Below are 20923 nucleotides of genomic sequence, written 5' to 3'. Positions count from 1 at the left end.
GTTCCATTCTCCCCGTCTCCTTCAGGTACCCCAATCAGCTGTAGTTTCAATCTCTTTGCATAATCCCATATTTCTCAGAGGTTTTGTTTATTTTCATTCTTTTTTCTCTATTCTTGTCTGCTTGTCTTATTTCATAAAGATAGTCTTCAAATGCTGAGATTTTTCCTCCACTTGGTATATTCTGCTATTGATACTTGTGATTGCATTGTGAAGTTCTCATGGTTTTCAGCTCATCGGGTCAGTTATGTTCCTCTCTAAACTGGCTATCAGTTCCTCTATTGTTTTATCCTGATTGCTAGCTTCTTGGCATTGGGTTACAACATACTCTGTTAGCTCAGTGAAGTTTGTTGTTACTCACCTTCAGAAGCCTACTTCTGTCAATTCAGTCATCTCAGCCTCAGCCCAGTTCTGTGCCCTTGCTGGAGAGGTGTTGCAGTCATTTGGAGATGAGGCACACTGGCTTTTTGAGTTTTCAGCGTTTTTGCATTGATTCTTTCTCATCTTTGTGGGCTTATCTACCTTTGACCTTTGAGGTTTCTGACCTTTGAATGGGGTTTTTGTGGGCTCTCTTTTGTTGATGTTGTTGTTTTCTGTTTGTCTTTTAAGAGCCAGGCCACTCTTCCACAGGACTGCTGCAGTTTGCTGGAGGTTTGCTCCAGACCCTAGTTGCCTTTGTTTTTCCCATACCTGGAGGTATCACCAGTGAAGGCTGTGAAATAGCAAAGATGGCAGCTTGCTTCTTCCTCTGGAAGCTCTGTCCCAGCGGGGTACTGACCTGTTGCCAGCCTGAACTGTGCCTGTAGGCGGTGCCTGGAGACCCCTGTTGGGAGGTCTCACCCAGTCAGGAGGAACAAGATCAGGGCCTGCTTAAAGAAGCAGTCTGGCTGCTTTTTGGTAGCACAGCTGTGCTGTGTTGTGGGGAAACCTTCCTCATCTGGACCATCTGGACTCTCTGGAGCCAGCAGGCTGGAACACCTGAGTTGACCAAACTGCAGAGTTGGCAGCCGCTCCTCCCCCTGGGAACTCAGTCCTTTTACTAGGCTGGCTCCAGCCTGTCACCGCTGGCTGGCTGGAATTCGAAGCCAGTGGGTCTTAAGTTATGAGGTGCCATGGAAATGGGGCCCACAGACACTTCTTGGCTCCCTGGATTCAGCCCCCACTCCAAGGGATATGTAGGGATGAATCTTCTGCCTTGTCAGGAATCCTGGGGCAGGATTATGCAAAACTCCTGGGCCTCTGTGTGTGCCTGAGCAGCTGCTCTGCCAGGATACCACACAGCTCTTGTATTGGACCCAAAGCCCTGGTGGAGTGGGCGTATGAGGGGATCTTCTGATCCGCTGGTTGCAAAGATCCATGGGAGAAGTGTGGTTTCCTGGGTGGGATTGCACAATCACTCACTGCTTCCCTTGGCTGGGGGTGGGGGTTCCTTGGTCTCTGTGCCACTCCTGGGTGGGCTGTCGCCCCACCTGCTTTTCTTCATTATCTGTGCCACCACGACTCTTTAAGCTTTGAATCCTAGGTGCCACGCTTGCTTCACTCTAGTCCTGGCTCTGTATTACACAGACATCCTTGGAAAAAAGTTTAGTACTAAAGCTGTTGATGCCTTTGCGCAGAATGAAATACTCATGAAGAATTGTTTCCCAACCATTGGCAAACCTCTGGTTATAAACACATGATGTTTAAATGCCTCTTACCTCTGCACCTATGAACAAGGCCTCTGATGCTAATACTTTGGGAATGACAGAAAATCCTTAGAGTTTCCAAATATATTTCAGGTTTCCATATGACCCAGCCATTTCACTCCTAGATATTTATCCAAGATTAGTGAAAGGATATGTCCCTATAAAGACATGTATGTGAATGTGCATGACATTTTAGTTTTTTAAATATTTTGGTTTTAATTGACACATAATAACTGTACATATTTATGGGGTACAGTGTGATGTTTTGACAAATATATACATTGAGTAATGATCAAATCACTATAATTAGCATTTCCATTACCTCAAACATTTGTCATTTCTTTGTGGTGAGAACATTCAAAATCCTCTCTTCTAGCTATTTTGAAGTATACGGTACATGATTGTTGAATATAGTAACCCTACGGTACAATAGAACTCCAGAACTTATATCTCTTATTGAACTTTAACTTTGTACCGATTGATCAATCTCTTCCCCATTCCCTCTCTACCACCTCCCTTGCTCAGCCTCTGGTAGCCACTATTCTGCTGTCTACTTCTATGAGATCAACTTTCTGAGATTCCATATATGAGGGAGATCATGTAGTGTTTGTTTTTCTGTGCTTAGCTTACTTCACCTATAATAATGTCCTTCAAGTTCATCCATTTTGTCACAAATGGCAGAATTTCCTTCTTCTTTTATAGCTGAATAGTATTCCATTGTTTGTATATACATCTTTTTTAATCCATTTATCCAACTATGGACACTTAGGTTGATTCCATATATTGAGTATTGTGAATCGTGCCTCCGTCTAACTGAAATTTGTACCCTTTGACCAGGGTCTCCCCTTTTTCTGTGTACCCCCTCATTTCTAGTCCCTGGTAACTGTTACCCTCTAATCTTTACTTCTGTGAAGTTTGATTTTTTTAGATTCCACATATAAGTAAGATCATATGGTATTTGTCTCTTTGTGCCTGTCTTATTTCACTTAGTGTAATGTCCTGTAGGTTCATTCATGTTGTTGCAAATGACAGAATTTCCTGCTTTTATAAGGCTGGAAAGTTAGTTTTCCATTGTATATATATATATGTGTGTGTGTGTGTGTGTGTGTGTGTGTGTGTGTGTATGTGTGTGTGTGTATATATATGTGTGTATATATATATGTGTGTGTATATATATATATATACTACCTTTTAAAAAGCCATTGTTCATTGATGAGCACTTCTGTTTCTGTATCTTCACTATTGTGAATAATACTGCAATGAATATAAGAGAGCAGACAACTCTTTAACATACTAATTTCAATTCCTTTGGATATATATCCAGAAGCGGGATTGCTGGATTGTATGATAATTTTATTTTTAGTTTTTTGAGGACCTGCCATACTGTTTCCCAAAATGTACTAATGTACAATATTACCAACGGTCTCCAAGGGTTCCCTTTTCTCCACATTCTTGCCAAAACTTGTTATCTTTCATCTTTTTAATAATAGCACATCTAACAATTGTGAGGTGATTTCACATTGTGATTTTATTTTACATTTCTCTGATGATTAAATATGTTGAGCATTTTTTCATATATCTCTTGGTTGTTTGTATGCCTTCCTTTGAGAAATGTCTATTCAGATCCTTTGCCCATTTTTTTAATAGAGCTATTTTGTTTTCTTGTTATTGAGTAGTTTGAGTTTCTTGTATATTTTGGATATTAAACCCCTTTATTTGAGGTATGATTTGCAAATATTTTCTCCGAATCTGTACGTTGTCCCTTTGCTTCAATTGTTTCATTTATGTGCAGAAGCTTTTCAGTTTGATATAATCCCATTTATCTATTTTTGCTTTAGTTGCCTGTGCCTTTGGGGTCATATCCAGGAAATCATTGCCCAGACTATTGTTATGGAGCTTTTCCTCTATGTTTTCTTCTAGTAGTTTTATAGTTTCAGGTCTTATATTTAAGTCTTTAATTCATTTAGAGTTGATTCTCATTGAAGGGGTGAGATAAAACTCCAGTTTCGTTCTTCCTCATATGTAGTTTCCCTAACACCATTTATTGAAGAGACTCTCCTTTCCCCATTGTGTGTTCTTGGAAGCTTTGTTGAAAATCAGTTGACCATAAATGCGTAGGTTTATGTCTGGGCTTTTTTATCTTATTCCACTGGTCAATATGTCTATTTTTATGCCAGTATTATGCTCTTCTGATTATTATGTCTTTGTAATATATTTTGCCATCCAGTAGTGTGATGCCTCAAACTTTGTTCTTTTTGCTCAAGATGGTTTGGCTATTTGGGGTCTTTTGTGGTTTCATGTGAATTTTGAATTTTTTTCTATTTCTGTGAAGAATGACATTGAAATTTTGGTAGGAATTGCATTGAATCTATACAGTGCTTTGTATAATACAGACATTTTAACAATATTAGTTCTTTCAATCCATGAACAGACATCTTTCCATTTATTTGTGTCATCTTCAGTTTTTTTCATCACATAGCAACGTTATTTGTAATAGCCCCAATAGTTGAAAGATGTGTGGGTTTTTACCAACACATCCATCAATAGGTGAATGAATAAGAAAAATTATGGTATATCCATACAATGGAATATTATTCAGCAATAAAAAGGAATGAACTATTGATATGTTCGCGACTAAGCTGCCAGAAAGGAGCCAAAAATACTTTATCTTTCCATCCATACTTCGTCTATCTACCATATGATTCCATTTATATAAAAAAACTAGGAAACTAGTCTATAACGATGGAAAGCAGATCAGTGGATTACAAAGGGACGGGGGCAATTTTTAGAGGTGATGGAAATGTTCTTTCCCTTTATTGTGTTGATGCTTTCATAAGTGTATACACATGTCCAAATTTTAAAATCATACTCTTTAAATGTGTGCAGGCTATTGTATATCAAGCATACCTCAATCAAGTTGGGTTTTAAAACTGATTCCTTAAGTTCAGAACTGGAGGAAAAGATGCTTGACATGACATGCCCCTGGGTTCAGAGGAGAGTTAGCTTACCTACTACCTGATGACTTCTTCAACATTGTGAGCTTTTCTAACTTGTATTTGGAATGAACTTCTACAGAGTCGAAAGATTAGTTTATATGAACAAAAAAAGCAGCAATGCGGGACTTGTAAATGGCTCTTAGTGATTCATAGCTTGTGTGAATTAGCATGGTCAGATGGGTTTTCTCCTAAACCACTGCCTGAAAAAACAAGGCCCTGTGATAAGGGTAGGAGTATAGATAACTTTGGCAACATGGAGCATTTGGGGCAGAGAGGAAGTCTGAGTTGGAGCTTAGCATAGAAAAAAAATGCTGGTATTCTAGAAAGTAATAGAGAGGAAGATGGAGACGTGTTAAAGATAGCTTATCAAAGTAATGCTACATGACCAATATTATAGGTACCAGATAAATATTTGTTATATGAATGAACAAATGGATGAGTATTGCATTAGGGCTTATCTAGGGCAAAGGAAAGATGAGGAGATGCTTTTCTCTTTACATCTCTAGGGAAGTAGATTGGTTGGATTTTCTATAGAAAATATATTCTAACTTCCAGACAACTGACTACTTGAAAATTACTTGGATTCCAGCCTATTTATAAAGTAGAAACTATGTCCTATTTATAATAATCAATACATTTTTATTGTATTGTGCTATATTCTAAGACTGGTACCACTCAGAGCCATGGGGAGCCATCCGTAAGAAATGTTCATTCTTGTTAAGGGCTATGAGACAGTTACCCAATCAATGTGGAGAACACAAAAGCTAAGCTAGGTTCTTGTTGGATTGACTCTCAACTGGGTTTCAGAAAAGGAAAGAGTTCACTTTGAGTTGAATTACATGAAGAAAGTTGGTTATGAGCTTGGTGTTGAAGAATGGATTGTAGTTGGATTAGCAAATGGGAAGAGAGAGGGCATTCCAAGAGCAAAGACATGAAGAGAGTAGTATGGCCTGAGTTGAGGGTGCATGTTTTTAAAGGGTGGGTAGGCAGATGGGATCCAAGATAATAAGGCCATGGAAAGCCATGCAGAAGAGTTTCGTTTTTATCTAATAGACAATTGAGAGTCTGTATAGGATGCATTTTATCTTCAAGTAACCCAAAAGTGACTTTAACAAATAAAGCTTTATTTTACTCACATGAGATGTCTGGTAATGCCACCAGTGAACCAGTCCTGAGGATGTTGGCTTGTCATATTAGTCTTAAAATGGTATCACTTCTACATTCATATTGGAAAGAAGGGGAAGTGGTGTTGCCAGCCAGCTCTGTTCTCATACCTGACCCTTTCTAAAGGGAACAAAAGTTTTTCCAAAAGCCTCTGTCAGACTTCTGACTTTGTTTCACTGGACAGGACTGGGCCATATGCTTATCCTTTTAGGCAAAGGAGGATGGGAAAGGAAGTATTGGGCTTTCCAGCCTCTCTAATTGAGGTGTCAAGGGAGAAAGGGGTTAGTGATCACTGTTGGCTTGTTTAATAAACATGTACTACAGAGCCATTGCAGTGTGGCTTTTGAGCAGGAATATGGCATGTTGAAAGCATATGTCCTACCCCAAATTATTATTTTTTATCTTAACTAGAGAAAAGGAGAGTTGGGATGACATAGATGATTATTTAGCAAATCTTCACTTCCTTCTCTCTGCCACTGTTGACATGTATTTCTCCACCTCATTGATGTTGGGCTTGGTCACGTGATTTTCTTGGAGCAATGGAACATGGATAGAAATGACAGTGCAATTCTGAACGTAGGCCTTAAGAACCCTCTCACGTTTCTGCTTCTCTTTATTGTGCTTTTGCCACTGTCTTGAAAACAACGTGCCTCCCCGGTAGCTCACTGATCCCAGAATAAGAGGTATGTGGATCAGAGTCACCCTAGCTGACCCACAGACCTGCAACATGAAGCAGAACAACCCTAGCTGATCTGTAGGCTCACAAGAATGAAGTTAAATGGTTATTGTTTTGTTCTACTGAGATTTTGTGGCCTCTTGTTACACAGCAGTAATGAGGGATACAAGCGTACTTACAGTAAAGTAATTACACTAAAGCATTGTTGTTATTAAAAACTCAAAATAATACTAATGTAAGGCATTTGTACTGTGGTTGCATATAAATGGCAGCAATTGATATAGTTTTTCCTGGGAGGAAAGTAGAATACATATCTTTGTCTACATTTCAGAGACTAGAAAAAATTATTTGGCCAGTATTTGGGAGACCACCGCTCTTTTTGGCTTGAAGTCCATTATTTTTTCCACTATACCAATTACTCTGGTAACAGGGCTACAAAAGTGTCCGTTTCAGCTCATAACGTATTTTCAGGTCCTGGCACTGTACCTGGAATATTGTAGGCATTTAATTAACATATTGAATGGATTAATGAATGAATGAATAAGTACTCAAGAAATCTATTTGTAGTTAGAGGGTAGAAGCTTTCCTAATTTTTTCAGGTATAAAATGAGTAAGCACTTCCATTTGTTGTATCCTTCCCAGTTTCACTCTGCAAATCAAAATCCATTTCCTCAGGAAGAAATCTCAGTTAGCTGGTTCCCATCTATGCTGCTATAGTTTGGATATACTTGTCCCACAAGCCTCATGTTGAAATTTGTTCCCTAATGTTGGAGGTGGGGCCTAATGGGAGGTGTTTGAGTCATGGGTGTGGATCCCTCATGAATGGCTTAACGCCATCCTCATGGTAATGAATGAGTTCATTATCTATTAGTTCCCACAAGAGCTGGTTGTTTAATTCAGTTTGGCAGCTCCCTCCCCTTTGTCTTGCTTCCTCTCTTGCCATGTGATTCCTGCATACACGGGCTCCCCTTCACCTTCTGCTATGAGTGGAAGCAGCCTGAAGCCCTCCACAGAACCAGACTCTGGTGCCATGCTTCTTATTTAGCCTGCAGAACTCTAAGTGAAATAAACCTCTTTTTTGTAATAAATTACGCAGCCTCAGGTATTCTTTTATAGCAACACAAACAGAGTAAGACACATGCCCTTATCACAGTTTTGGGGAAGCAAAGAGGTTACATTAGTCAGAATATTAAAAGAGGATACAGAGGAAGTCTAGTAAGACTAATGAGACTCAATGCTAATAAGCATAGAGAGAGTGCCATATGTACTTGGTGTTCTATCCTTGTACATGTTACTATAGCATCCAGGGAGACAGGAACAGTGGAATTTTTCGTAGTTGGGCCCTGAAGGTCTTCTGAATCACGTACATGGGCCTGCTTATATAACAGACAATAGTAGGACAATAGAGGCAATGAAGACAAAGTTGGGGCAGAAAAAAGGAAGTTATAAACAAACAAAGAAATAGTACTCTTCTCTTAAGTGGAGCCTCAGTAGAAAGAGGGCAGACACCATGAGAAACATAATTTTTATTTCCATCATTTTAAAATAAATCAGCAAAATTTGATGTGTAACTATCTGCCTAGTGTACTGAAAGCCCCACTAGGTATGGGCAAGGAGGATAAAACCAATTTTGTTGGTATGTACACCTGGGCTAACACTGTAGTGAGATATAGGAAGAAGGTCATTTTGGGGTCTCTGAATACAAAGTTACAGGGGCCTCAATAGCTTCCTGTTATTCTTGGATCAAGGCTAAACTTCTTGGCATGGTTCTCAAGGCCTTTCAAAGTCTGATCCTATTTCTTATAACATAATTTCTGGGCACTTCTCGTACACAGCACACAAATATTTTAACAACAATCATTTAAATATTGGGGGTAGTTGGAAACCAAGTTATTTTATGACTTTGGCTAATGCAAATTTGATGTAAGAAAACTTCCCATGCTATTGCTACATATATTGTATGTCATATCTTGGAGGCAGGGATGATATGAAGTTCCTTTTGTCTTTAAAAAAAAGAAAATTTCCCATATTGTAGATAGAATTAATTTTTTCAACTCTTCACTCCCTCCTTGCAATAGAATTATACATCTATGCACTTACTGTGTGCTTTGTCCCACTAGAGGAGATAGGGTTTATTTCCCTGCTCCATTGATACAAGGTTTGGCCATGCGTCTTGCTTTGGACAATGGAATATTAGTTACGGTTGAGCAGCAGGTTTAAATGTGCTCAGATGCTTTGGCTTCATTCCTTGCAATTCTACCATCCACTATGAGAAGAACGTTGCTCAAGTAGCTTCTGATCTCAGAATGTTGAAGTTATGCATTACACGTGTGAACGTGAAGCCTGGAGCCCAACCTGTCACAGCGAAACCCAGTCAAGATGAGCTGAAATGCAGTCTACCCACAAACCCGTGGGCAAGAAAAATAAAGTTTGTTATTGTAAGCTATTGAAATTGAGGATTTTTTCCCAGTATTACTACTGCAAGAGTTGTCTAACACACCCTAGTTATTTGCATGGCCATTTGGTCATGGTGTTATAGAATTCTAAACTATGGAAATTTTTGCCTAAGTTTTGTTTTGTTTATTTCCTCTTTCTCCCGGAAATAATTTTTGGGGCAGAAATATAATACTTTTATAATTTTAAAGCACTTTACAGCGTATTTTCACATAGATTACTGCATTTAATCTTTACAACTACTCCATGAAGTGGAATTTATTAATGTCCCCATTTGATGGATGATGTGAACACTGAAAATCTGAAACAGGGCTCAGTTAATTTAGAAAGTTTATTTTGCCAAGGTTTAAGATGTGTGCCCTTGACACAACTTCAGGAGGTTATGTGTCCTGACAACATGTGTCCAAGGTGGTCAGGGCACAGTTTGGTTTTATGCATTCTAGGGAGACATGAGACATTAGACAACATATACGAGATGAATATTGGTTCAGTCTGTAAAGGCAAGAAAACTCGAAGCAAAGCAGGGAGGGGTCTTCCAGGTCATAGGTAGATGAGAGACAAATGGTTGCATTCATCTGAGTTTCTGATTAACCTCTCCAAAGGAGGCAATTGGATGTGCATTTATCTCAGTGAGCAGAGGGGTGGCTTTGAATAGAATGGGAGGCAGGTGGGCCCTATGCAGTTCCCAGCTTGACTTTTCCCTTTAGCTTAGTGATTTGGGGGCTCCATGACTTCTTCTCCTTTCACATTTACTCCCTTCTCTTTTCAAAAACTTTTTTGAGAAGCATTTTAGAAGAAAATGAGTCTCTGGTATCAGGTTTCGTTTGATCTTTCATGATTGGGATGGTTTATTCCTAGATTGGCAGGTCCCAAGTTATTAGGAAAGCTCATTTTTAGCAGGTTGTAAAGTCTCATGTCCTATGAAGAGAAAGTAGGGGGAGGAAGGGAGAAAAACAACAACAAACAAAAGAACAATCCTGGAAAATTGGTATAGGCCACATTACTCTGGAGTCCATACATCAGTTAGCAGGTATGAAAGTGGCTTATGGCCAGACCCCGTGGCTCACGCCTGTAATCCCAGCACTTTGGGAGGCTGAGGCGGGTGGATCACAAGGTCAGGAGATCGAGACCAGCCTGGACAATATGGTAAAACCTTGGCTCTACTGAAAATACAAAAATTAGCTGGGCGTGGTGGCATGCACCTGTAGAGAGGCTGAGGCAGGAGAATCGCTTGGAACCGGAAGTCGGAGGTTGCAGTGAGCCAAGATCGCGCCACTGCACTCCAGCCTGGGCAACAGAGTGAGATTCCCTCTCAAAAAAAAAAAGAAAAGAAAGACAGTGGCTTATGTTTGTAAATAGGTTGCTGTTATCTGCTTCTGAAGTTTAGGTTGTCTAGCTTCAGTTCGCAGGGCTTTACACAAGTACAGCTTATTTTTCAGTGATTTCACATTAGGAAAAAATGGGAAAAAGGAAAATAAATAAGAAAAAAAGGAAAATATTATTTTTAAGACTTATAGCTAGGAAAAATTAGAATTCAGCCCAAACTGTAGACAATAATAAAAATTGAAAAACATTAGGCAAGACTAAAATCTAACAACAGGTGTGCTATAGTTTTGAAATACAATTTTTCTCTCCCGTTTTCCATTTTTACCAAAGACAAATCACGGCTGGACTGGTTTGCTTTATTATACTTGGCCTAATAATTTGTATAAAGTGCAGCAAGAATAACTATTTTTTTACATAGGCTTTTCAATTGGCTTCAATGGAATTGTGTTTCATAGGAGGAATCTCAGATAAGACTTTTTTAAAGTCGAGCCCAGCCATAAGTTTGTGCCATCAAATACCTACGAGTTGAGTGATCCTCTGCTCTTGAGGTTCCAACATAAACTTGGGGCTCCTGGGCCTGTTAGAAAGTGACATTCTTTACTTACCACAGGTCAGGAACCCTGTACAGGGACTGTGTAAACAAAGGATGAGGCCAGTTTTAACCACAGGGCTTTTATTGGCTGCATAAGTCAAGTTTGATTTATTAAAGTCTTGGCAAAATAACCAGTTTCTCCAACTGTGTTCTGTTACAAATGAAATTCTTATTGCACTTATGCAAATAACTGTATTGTTGTAAGTTAAGAATACCCACAAATAATAGTTTCCAAATTCTGGAGAAATCAGGTAGAGAGAAACAAATATGCTCCAAATTTTGTTCATAGGAGTGTATTTTACTCAATTGCTGAAGTTATAAATAGGTTAAAAGAAAAGTTTTCTTGACTCTGAAAAACAAAACAAAGGATCAGCAACGTTTTAAGCAAAAAGTTAAAAAAGATTACTTTAGTCTTCTATCAGTTTGGTTTACGCAGTTACTTCCTGTTCTGCTTGATATTCATGAACATTTCAGCTCTCCATGAGAGTCCTGAAAGCTTTTTCCTCTATTCTAATGTTACAATCTCCAAAGTGATCAGAAACCTGTATTTAAGAACACCTGTTAGAGTTCTATACCTGATTATAAAACCACCTTCTAAGGAAGACCAAAACAAGACAACAATTGTCTGTGGATGACAAAAGGTTTTAGGATAGCCATAGTTAAAGATGACACAATTGACAAGGAAATTTGTTACCTTTGTGGCACACAATAATTTAACATAATAATTATAATTATTACTGATAATGTACATTAAGTCATATCAGAATTATAGGAGTTTCCCATGATTTTGGAACACATACCAATAACTTATTTATACAAATACAGCCTAAAGAAAAACAAACACCATTTCACATTTGACAATGCTTCCTGTATAATTTTTATACCAAATAAGCCAAATTATTGCATTTTTAGACTTTTGGGAACCTAACATCTTAAAGGATTAATTAGGTCAGAAAAAGACATAATTCATAATTTGATTTTTGGAAAGTTTGTCAAATATCAAAGGTTTAAAACACTTGATATCACAAAATAGGATCACAGGTCATTCATTGTAAAATAAGTCATTCATTTAACCAAAGTGATAACTCAAGGATTTCAGAAAAGGTGAAAACCTTCATTTTTTGAGAGAAGAGATTTAATTTTCCAAACAATAAGCCCTAATAAAAACAGCATGAAACCATTTAAATTTGTTTTTGAAAATTTTATAAACAACCTATAAAATTTTAATCTTGACCATAAGATATAACTTCCATAAGGATTTTATAAACTTTATAGCCTTTATTAAGCAGTCAGTTAATGCTTCAAGAAAAATCTTGTTAATCTGACACAGGGGCTTATATGCTGGTCTTACATCAGTGTGCCTTTGACATTCACGATTAACTTATAGAGAAACCGAACCTATTTTATCTTTAAAAAACTGGCCCTCACAATCTCATGCACCTACCTCTTCTGCGATAGTTCTTGGGCCTTGAGGAGTTGAGTAGCTTTAATTTCTGGCCCTGTGTCTTAGGAATGTAGTTTATTCTGACTGGTATCTTTTATGGGGCCTGAAGATGCAGCTTTAATTGCTGTCAGTGTTTAAGATTTGGCAGGACTTGATGTCCTTTTTTAGAACTCAGGAATGAAAGCCCTGTAACTCAATGTCACAAGGACTTTATTTTTTTTTTTTTTATTTTTTTTTTTTTATTTTTTATTTTTTATTATACTTTAAGTTTTAGGGTACATGTGCACATTGTGCAGGTTAGTTACATATGTATACATGTGCCATGCTGGTGCGCTGCACCCACCAACGTGTCATCTATCATTAGGTATATCTCCCACTGCTATCCCTCCCCCCTCCCCCGACCCCACCACCGTCCCCAGAGTGTGATATTCCCCTTCCTGTGTCCTTGTGATCTCATTGTTCAATTCCCACCTATGAGTGAGAATATGCGGTGTTTGGTTTTTTGTTCTTGCGATAGTTTACTGAGAATGATGGTTTCCAATTTCATCCATGTCCCTACAAAGGACATGAACTCATCATTTTTTATGGCTGCATAGTATTCCATGGTGTATATGTGCCACATTTTCTTAATCCAGTCTATCATTGTTGGACATTTGGGTTGGTTCCAAGTCTTTGCTATTGTGAATAGTGCCGCAATAAACATACGTGTGCATGTGTCTTTATAGCAGCATGATTTATAGTCCTTTGGGTATATACCCAGTAATGGGATGGCTGGGTCAAATGGTATTTCTAGTTCTAGATCCCTGAGGAATCGCCACACTGACTTCCACAATGGTTGAACTAGTTTACAGTCCCACCAACAGTGTAAAAGTGTTCCTATTTCTCCACATCCTCTCCAGCACCTGTTGTTTCCTGACTTTTTAATGATTGCCATTCTAACTGGTGTGAGATGATATCTCATAGTGGTTTTGATTTGCATTTCTCTGATGGCCAGTGATGATGAGCATTTTTTCATGTGTTTTTTGGCTGCATAAATGTCTTCTTTTGAGAAGTGTCTGTTCATGTCCTTCGCCCACTTTTTGATGGGGTTGTTTGTTTTTTTCTTGTAAATTTGTTTGAGTTCATTGTAGATTCTGGATATTAGCCCTTTGTCAGATGAGTAGGTTGCGAAAATTTTCTCCCATGTTGTAGGTTGCCTGTTCACTCTGATGGTAGTTTCTTTTGCTGTGCAGAAGCTCTTTAGTTTAATTAGATCCCATTTGTCAATTTTGGCTTTTGTTGCCATTGCTTTTGGTGTTTTGGACATGAAGTCCTTGCCCACGCCTATGTCCTGAATGGTAATGCCTAGGTTTTCTTCTAGGGTTTTTATGGTTTTAGGTCTAACGTTTAAATCTTTAATCCATCTTGAATTGATTTTTGTATAAGGTGTAAGGAAGGGATCCAGTTTCAGCTTTCTACATATGGCTAGCCAGTTTTCCCAGCACCATTTATTAAATAGGGAATCCTTTCCCCATTGCTTGTTTTTCTCAAGTTTGTCAAAGATCAGATAGTTGTAGATACGCGGCATTATTTCTGAGGGCTCTGTTCTGTTCCATTGATCTATATCTCTGTTTTGGTACCAGTACCATGCTGTTTTGGTTACTGTAGCCTTGTAGTATAGTTTGAAGTCAGGTAGTGTGATGCCTCCAGCTTTGTTCTTTTGGCTTAGGATTGACTTGGCGATGCGGGCTCTTTTCTGGTTCCATATGAACTTTAAAGTAGTTTTTTCCAATTCTGTGAAGAAAGTCATTGGTAGCTTGATGGGGATGGCATTGAATCTGTAAATTACCTTGGGCAGTATGGCCATTTTCACGATATTGATTCTTCCTACCCATGAGCATGGAATGTTCTTCCATTTGTTTGTGTCCTCTTTTATTTCCTTGAGCAGTGGTTTGTAGTTCTCCTTGAAGAGGTCCTTCACATCCCTTGTAAGTTGGATTCCTAGGTATTTTATTCTCTTTGAAGCAATTGTGAATGGGAGTTCAGTCATGATTTGGCTCTCTGTTTGTCTGTTGTTGGTGTATAAGAATGCTTGTGATTTTTGTACATTGATTTTGTATCCTGAGACTTTGCTGAAGTTGCTTATCAGCTTAAGGAGATTTTGGGCTGAGACGATGGGGTTTTCTAGATATACAATCATGTCGTCTGCAAACAGGGACAATTTGACTTCCTCTTTTCCTAATTGAATACCCTTTATTTCCTTCTCCTGCCTGATTGCCCTGGCCAGAACTTCCAACACTATGTTGAATAGGAGCGGTGAGAGAGGGCATCCCTGTCTTGTGCCAGTTTTCAAAGGGAATGCTTCCAGTTTTTGCCCATTCAGTATGATATTGGCTGTGGGTTTGTCATAGATAGCTCTTATTATTTTGAAATACGTCCCATCAATACCTAATTTATTGAGAGTTTTTAGCATGAAGGGTTGTTGAATTTTGTCAAAGGCTTTTTCTGCATCTATTGAGATAATCATGTGGTTTTTGTCTTTGGCTCTGTTTATATGCTGGATTACATTTATTGATTTGCGTATATTGAACCAGCCTTGCATCCCAGGGATGAAGCCCACTTGATCATGGTGGATAAGCTTTTTGATGTGCTGCTGGATTCGGTTTGCCAGTATTTTATTGAGGATTTTTGCATCAATGTTCATCAAGGATATTGGTCTAAAATTCTCTTTTTTGGTTGTGTCTCTGCCCGGCTTTGGTATCAGAATGATGCTGGCCTCATAAAATGAGTTAGGGAGGATTCCCTCTTTTTCTATTGATTGGAATAGTTTCAGAAGGAATGGTACCAGTTCCTCCTTGTACCTCTGGTAGAATTCGGCTGTGAATCCATCTGGTCCTGGACTCTTTTTGGTTGGTAAGCTATTGATTATTGCCACAATTTCAGAGCCTGTTATTGGTCTATTCAGAGATTCAACTTCTTCCTGGTTTAGTCTTGGGAGGGTGTATGTGTCGAGGAATGTATCCATTTCTTCTAGATTTTCTAGTTTATTTGCGTAGAGGTGTTTGTAGTATTCTCTGATGGTAGTTTGTATTTCTGTGGGATCGGTGGTGATATCCCCTTTATCATTTTTTATTGAGTCTATTTGATTCTTCTCTCTTTTTTTCTTTATTAGTCTTGCTAGCGGTCTATCAATTTTGTTGATCCTTTCAAGAAACCAGCTCCTGGATTCATTGATTTTTTGAAGGGTTTTTTGTGTCTCTATTTCCTTCAGTTCTGCTCTGATTTTAGTTATTTCTTGCCTTCTGCTAGCTTTTGAATGTGTTTGCTCTTGCTTTTCTAGTTCTTTTAATTGTGATGTTAGGGTGTCAATTTTGGATCTTTCCTGCTTTCTCTTGTAGGCATTTAGTGCTATAAATTTCCCTCTACACACTGCTTTGCATGCGTCCCAGAGATTCTGGTATGTGGTGTCTTTGTTCTCGTTGGTTTCAAAGAACATCTTTATTTCTGCCTTCATTTCGTTATGTACCCAGTAGTCATTCAGGAGCAGGTTGTTCAGTTTCCATGTAGTTGAGCGGCTTTGAGTGAGATTCTTAATCCTGAGTTCTAGTTTGATTGCACTGTGGTCTGAGAGATAGTTTGTTATAATTTCTGTTCTTTTACATTTGCTGAGGAGAGCTTTACTTCCAACTATGTGGTCAATTTTGGAATAGGTGTGGTGTGGTGCTGAAAAAAATGTATATTCTGTTGATTTGGGGTGGAGAGTTCTGTAGATGTCTATTAGGTCCGCTTGGTGCAGAGCTGAGTTCAATTCCTGGGTATCCTTGTTGACTTTCTGTCTCGTTGATCTGTCTAATGTTGACAGTGGGGTGTTAAAGTCTCCCATTATTAATGTGTGGGAGTGTAAGTCTCTTTGTAGGTCACTGAGGACTTGCTTTATGAATCTGGGTGCTCCTGTGTTGGGTGCATAAATATTTAGGATAGTTAGCTCCTCTTGTTGAATTGATCCCTTTACCATTATGTAATGGCCTTCTTTGTCTCTTTTGATCTTTGTTGGTTTAAAGTCTGTTTTATCAGAGACTAGGATTGCAACCCCTGCCTTTTTTTGTTTTCCATTGGCTTGGTAGATCTTTCTCCATCCTTTTATTTTGAGCCTATGTGTGTCTCTGCACGTGAGATGGGTTTCCTGAATACAGCACACTGATGGGTCTTGACTCTTTATCCAACTTGCCAGTCTGTGTCTTTTAATTGCAGAATTTAGTCCATTTATATTTAAGGTTAATATTGTTATGTGTGAATTTGATCCTGTCATTATGATGTTAGCTGGTGATTTTGCTCGTTAGTTGATGCAGTTTCTTCCTAGTCTCAATGGTCTTTACATTTTGGCATGATTTTGCAGCGGCTGGTACCGGTTGTTCCTTTCCATGTTTAGCGCTTCCTTCAGGAGCTCTTTTAGGGCAGGCCTGGTGTTGACAAAATCTCTCAGCATTTGCTTGTCTATAAAGTATTTTATTTCTCCTTCACTTATGAAGCTTAGTTTGGCTGGATATGAAATTCTGGGTTGAAAATTCTTTTCTTTAAGAATGTTGAATATTGGCCCCCACTCTCTTCTGGCTTGTAGGGTTTCTGCCGAGAGATCCGCTGTTAGTCTGATGGGCTTTCCTTTGAGGGTAACCCGACCTTTGTCTCTGGCTGCCCTTAACATTTTTTCCTTCATTTCAACTTTGGTGAATCTGACAATTATGTGTCTTGGAGTTGCTCTTCTCGAGGAGTATCTTTGTGGCGTTCTCTGTATTTCCTGAATCTGAACGTTGGCCTGCCTTGCTAGATTGGGGAAGTTCTCCTGGATAATATCCTGCAGAGTGTTTTCCAACGTGGTTCCATTCTCCACATCACTTTCAGGTACACCAGTCAGACGTAGATTTGGTCTTTTCACATAGTCCCATATTTCTTGGAGGCTTTGCTCATTTCTTTTTATTCTTTTTTCTCTAAACTTCCCTTCTCGCTTCATTTCATTCATTTCATCTTCCATTGCTGATACCCTTTCTTCCAGTTGATCCCATCGGCTCCTGAGGCTTCTGCATTCTTCACGTAGTTCTCGAGCCTTGGTTTTCAGCTCCATCAGCTCCTTTAAGCACTTCTCTGTATTGGTTATTCTAGTTATACATTCTTCTAAATTTTTTTCAAAGTTTTCAACTTCTTTGCCTTTGGTTTGAATGTCCTCCCGTAGCTCAGAGTAATTTGATCGTCTGAAGCCTTCTTCTCTCAGCTCGTCAAAATCATTCTCCATCCAGCTTTGTTCCGTTGCTGGTGAGGAACTGCGTTCCTTTGGAGGAGGAGAGGCGCTCTGCGTTTTAGAGTTTCCAGTTTTTCTGTTCTGTTTTTTCCCCATCTTTGTGGTTTTATCTACTTTTGGTCTTTGATGATGGTGATGTACAGGTGGGTTTTCTGTTAGATGTCCTTTCTGGTTGTTAGTTTTCCTTCTAAGAGACAGGACCCTCAGCTGCAGGTCTGTTGGAATACCCTGCCGTGTGAGGTGTCAGTGTGCCCCTGCTGGGGGGTGTCTCCCAGTTAGGCTGCTCGGGGGTCAGGGGTCAAGGACCCAATAGAGGAGGCAGTCTGCCCGTTCTCAGATCTCCAGCTGCGTGCTGGGAGAACCACTGCTCTCTTCAAAGCTGTCAGACAGGGACACTTAAGTCTGCAGAGGTTACTGCTGTCTTTTTGTTTGTCTGTGCCCTGCCCCCAGAGGTGGAGCCTACAGAGGCAGGCAGGCCTCCTTGAGCTGTGGTGGGCTCCACCCAGTTCGAGCTTCCCGGCTGCTTTGTTTACCTAAGCAAGCCTGGGCAATGGCGGGCGCCCCTCCCCCAGCCTCGTTGCCGCCTTGCAGTTTGATCTCAGACTGCTGTGCCAGCAATCAGCGAGATTCCGTGGGCGTAGGACCCTCTGAGCCAGGTGTGGGATATAGTCTCCTGGTGCGCCGTTTTTTAAGCCGGTCTGAAAAGCGCAATATTCGGGTGGGAGTGACCCGATTTTCCAGGTGCGTCTGTCACCCCTTTCTTTGACTCGGAAAGGGAACTCCCTGACCCTTGCGCTTCCCAGGTGAGGCAATGCCTCGCCCTGCTTCGGCTCGCGCACGGTGCGCGCACACACTGGCCTGTGCCCACTGTCTGGCTCTCCCTAGTGAGATGAGCCCGGTACCTCAGATGGAAATGCAGAAATCACCCGTCTTCTGCGTCGCTCACGCTGGGAGCTGTAGACCGGAGCTGTTCCTATTCGGCCATCTTGGCTCCTCCCTCGTCACAAGGACTTTAAAAGCACATACAGAAAGATACATGGATGTAATAACCTTAGTTAAATTTTTTAATATCAGTTATTTCTAAGCAAACAAAAACTTAATAATAATGATATATGAATTGTTTTGATAAAATGTAAAATCTGTTAGGCCAGTTACCAAAAGGCAAGAGAAAAGACCTGCTGCACTGCACAGAATATTATGTTGGAAGAAAACATTTCCTTTAGACCTTTAAGAAAACATTGCTAGCATTGGGCCACTGCAACAGAACTCCAGGAAAAAAAACTTATATAAGCTGAAGATAAGTTTAAGGAGAGCATTACTATTTTGTGCCCTTTAAAAGGGGAGAGAAAACCAAAAACGTAGAGATGCAATAAAAGTTGAACTTTGGGTTAAAAAAAATTAAAATCTTTTATAATATATTAAGAGTCAATCAATCCCTTAAGAAAATTTCATTGTTCTAACCAATTATTTAGTGTATAAGTGTTTTTAAACATCAAACACAATCTCTAGAAAGACCATTATCATTTCTCTTTAATTATAGTCAACTTAACTATATAAGTTTTTAAAAATATATCAATCCATTTATTGTGACTGACTTAGACCATTCATGACATGCTTGAACTTTCTGGTTTTTCCTGAACGTCCCTCTTTCTTAAACAACCAGTCATTTTATTCTAGGTCTAAATTTACCATATAAGATTCTTTCTCATATAAAATTATTTCCCTTTAAGCTTTCTTACCAAAAAAACCTCTTTATTTCTGTAACTTTCTTTACATTTCTCTTATTTCCTGGTTCCTTTTACCTTGTTTTATACATAACGTTTAAATAACCTTTGAATTAGACAAAAATTTTTCACCCTTTTAAAAAGGACACTTTTTTAAGAAAGAATGTTTTTCTACAATATATTTTTATTTGAAAATACCCAAATAATGAAATATCTATTATCTAATTTAATATAACTTTATATTCTAAATTATGACAAGGTAGTCCACAAGTATTTATCACATTACATTTACCGAATTATTTTATTTTAATTGTTTACCTAGATTATTTACGAAAACTGCAATAGTCATGATTTAACATTATGAAACTGCCATTGCAAAATTATAACTGAGACAGTGAAAAAGATTTGATGTGACTGACTCCATCTTGCTTTTAACCTCCCAGATGTCCTTGTTCATTCCTGGGCATAGGCTGAACTAACTTTGGGAGGAACTTCGTTTATAGTTTAGCTTTGAAACAAAGGCAATAACAAGCCTTACTGCCTGTGGACTAGACCACCTAAAGCCACAAGATTAAAGTTATGGTAATCTTACTAAATTTAAGGTGTAGCTATTTTTATTAAACCAATATCAATGTCTTACTTATTAAAGATTACACAAGCAAAGATCATTCTGTTTTGGGCTGGGTTCATAGTTTTGTTTTTTGTTTTGTTTGGTTTGGTTTTTGAGACAGAGTTTTGCTCTTGCTGCCCAGGCTGGAGTACAATGGTGTGATCTCGGCTCACTGCAACCTCTGCCTCCCAGGTTCAAGCAATTCTCCTGCCTCAGCCTCCTGAGTAGCTGGGATTACAGGCATGTGCCACCATGCTCGGCTAATTTTGTATTTTTAGTAGAGACGGGGTTTCTCCATGTTGGTCAGGCTGGTCTCGAACTCCCAACCTCAGGTGATCCGCCCGCCTCGGGTTTATAGTTTTGTAACCCCCCATGCCAAATTTTGACACCTTGTAGTACTTGTCAGGGATAAGTATGAAATTGCTTGATTAATAAATGCAAACAAAAATGTCTGTTGGCAAATTCTTAAGACATTTCTAATGTTATTTTACTAAATATTTTAAAAGCCAGCTTATTTATTAAAGAGTTTACTTAAGTCACGTGAACTTGAAAAGCATTTGACTAGTCTTTTTTTTAGTATCTGGCTTAAGCACTTTTATTTTTTTAAAGCCAATTAATTAGAGCTCTTATATATTTTTAGTAGTGAAACACTGTGTACACAACACATAAATACATAGACGTGTTAGGCATGCCGATAGAAGTACATCTTATAGATTCATAAAGGCCTCCTTTTTTTCCTTTTTTTTCCCTATCTTACCCAAGGCAGTTGTCAGCTAAATAGCCTTAAATTTGCATATTAAAAGAAATAACTCTTAGATGAAAAATCAGATAGCAAAATTTACATCTCAGGGTACAGAGAGAAAAAGTTTGGTGATGCTAGAGGGAGATTAAAGATGGATGCCAAATCAAGCATAAAATTACAGAAATTTATTATAGGATTGTATAAGGAGACCAATTTTATTTAGATAGGGACTACCTATTTT

The 20923-nt window shown here is 38.8% G+C and overlaps 1 long non-coding RNA gene across 1 annotated transcript in view, besides 1 other annotated feature; it reads left to right on the top strand.

Moving 5' to 3' along the window:
* Positions 1-20923, top strand: part of PTCHD1-AS (PTCHD1 and PHEX antisense RNA) — a 1100142-nt gene that overhangs the window by 36024 nt on the left and 1043195 nt on the right. The gene's annotated exons all lie outside the window — the stretch shown is intronic.
* Positions 17640-18287: an enhancer, noted in NCBI's record as "NANOG-H3K27ac-H3K4me1 hESC enhancer chrX:23256953-23257600 (GRCh37/hg19 assembly coordinates)". NCBI's record gives its function as "activates a minimal SCP1, AML or CMV promoter by ChIP-STARR-seq in naive and primed H9 embryonic stem cells {active_cell/tissue: H9 hESC(naive and primed)}" and the evidence as "EXISTENCE:reporter gene assay evidence [ECO:0000049][PMID:30033119]".

This window comes from Homo sapiens, chromosome X, assembly GCF_000001405.40.
Source record: "Homo sapiens chromosome X, GRCh38.p14 Primary Assembly".
Lineage (NCBI taxonomy): Eukaryota > Metazoa > Chordata > Mammalia > Primates > Hominidae > Homo > Homo sapiens.
The sequence above is the reverse complement of the archived record's forward strand: the minus strand, read 5'-3'. Positions and strand labels throughout refer to the sequence as shown.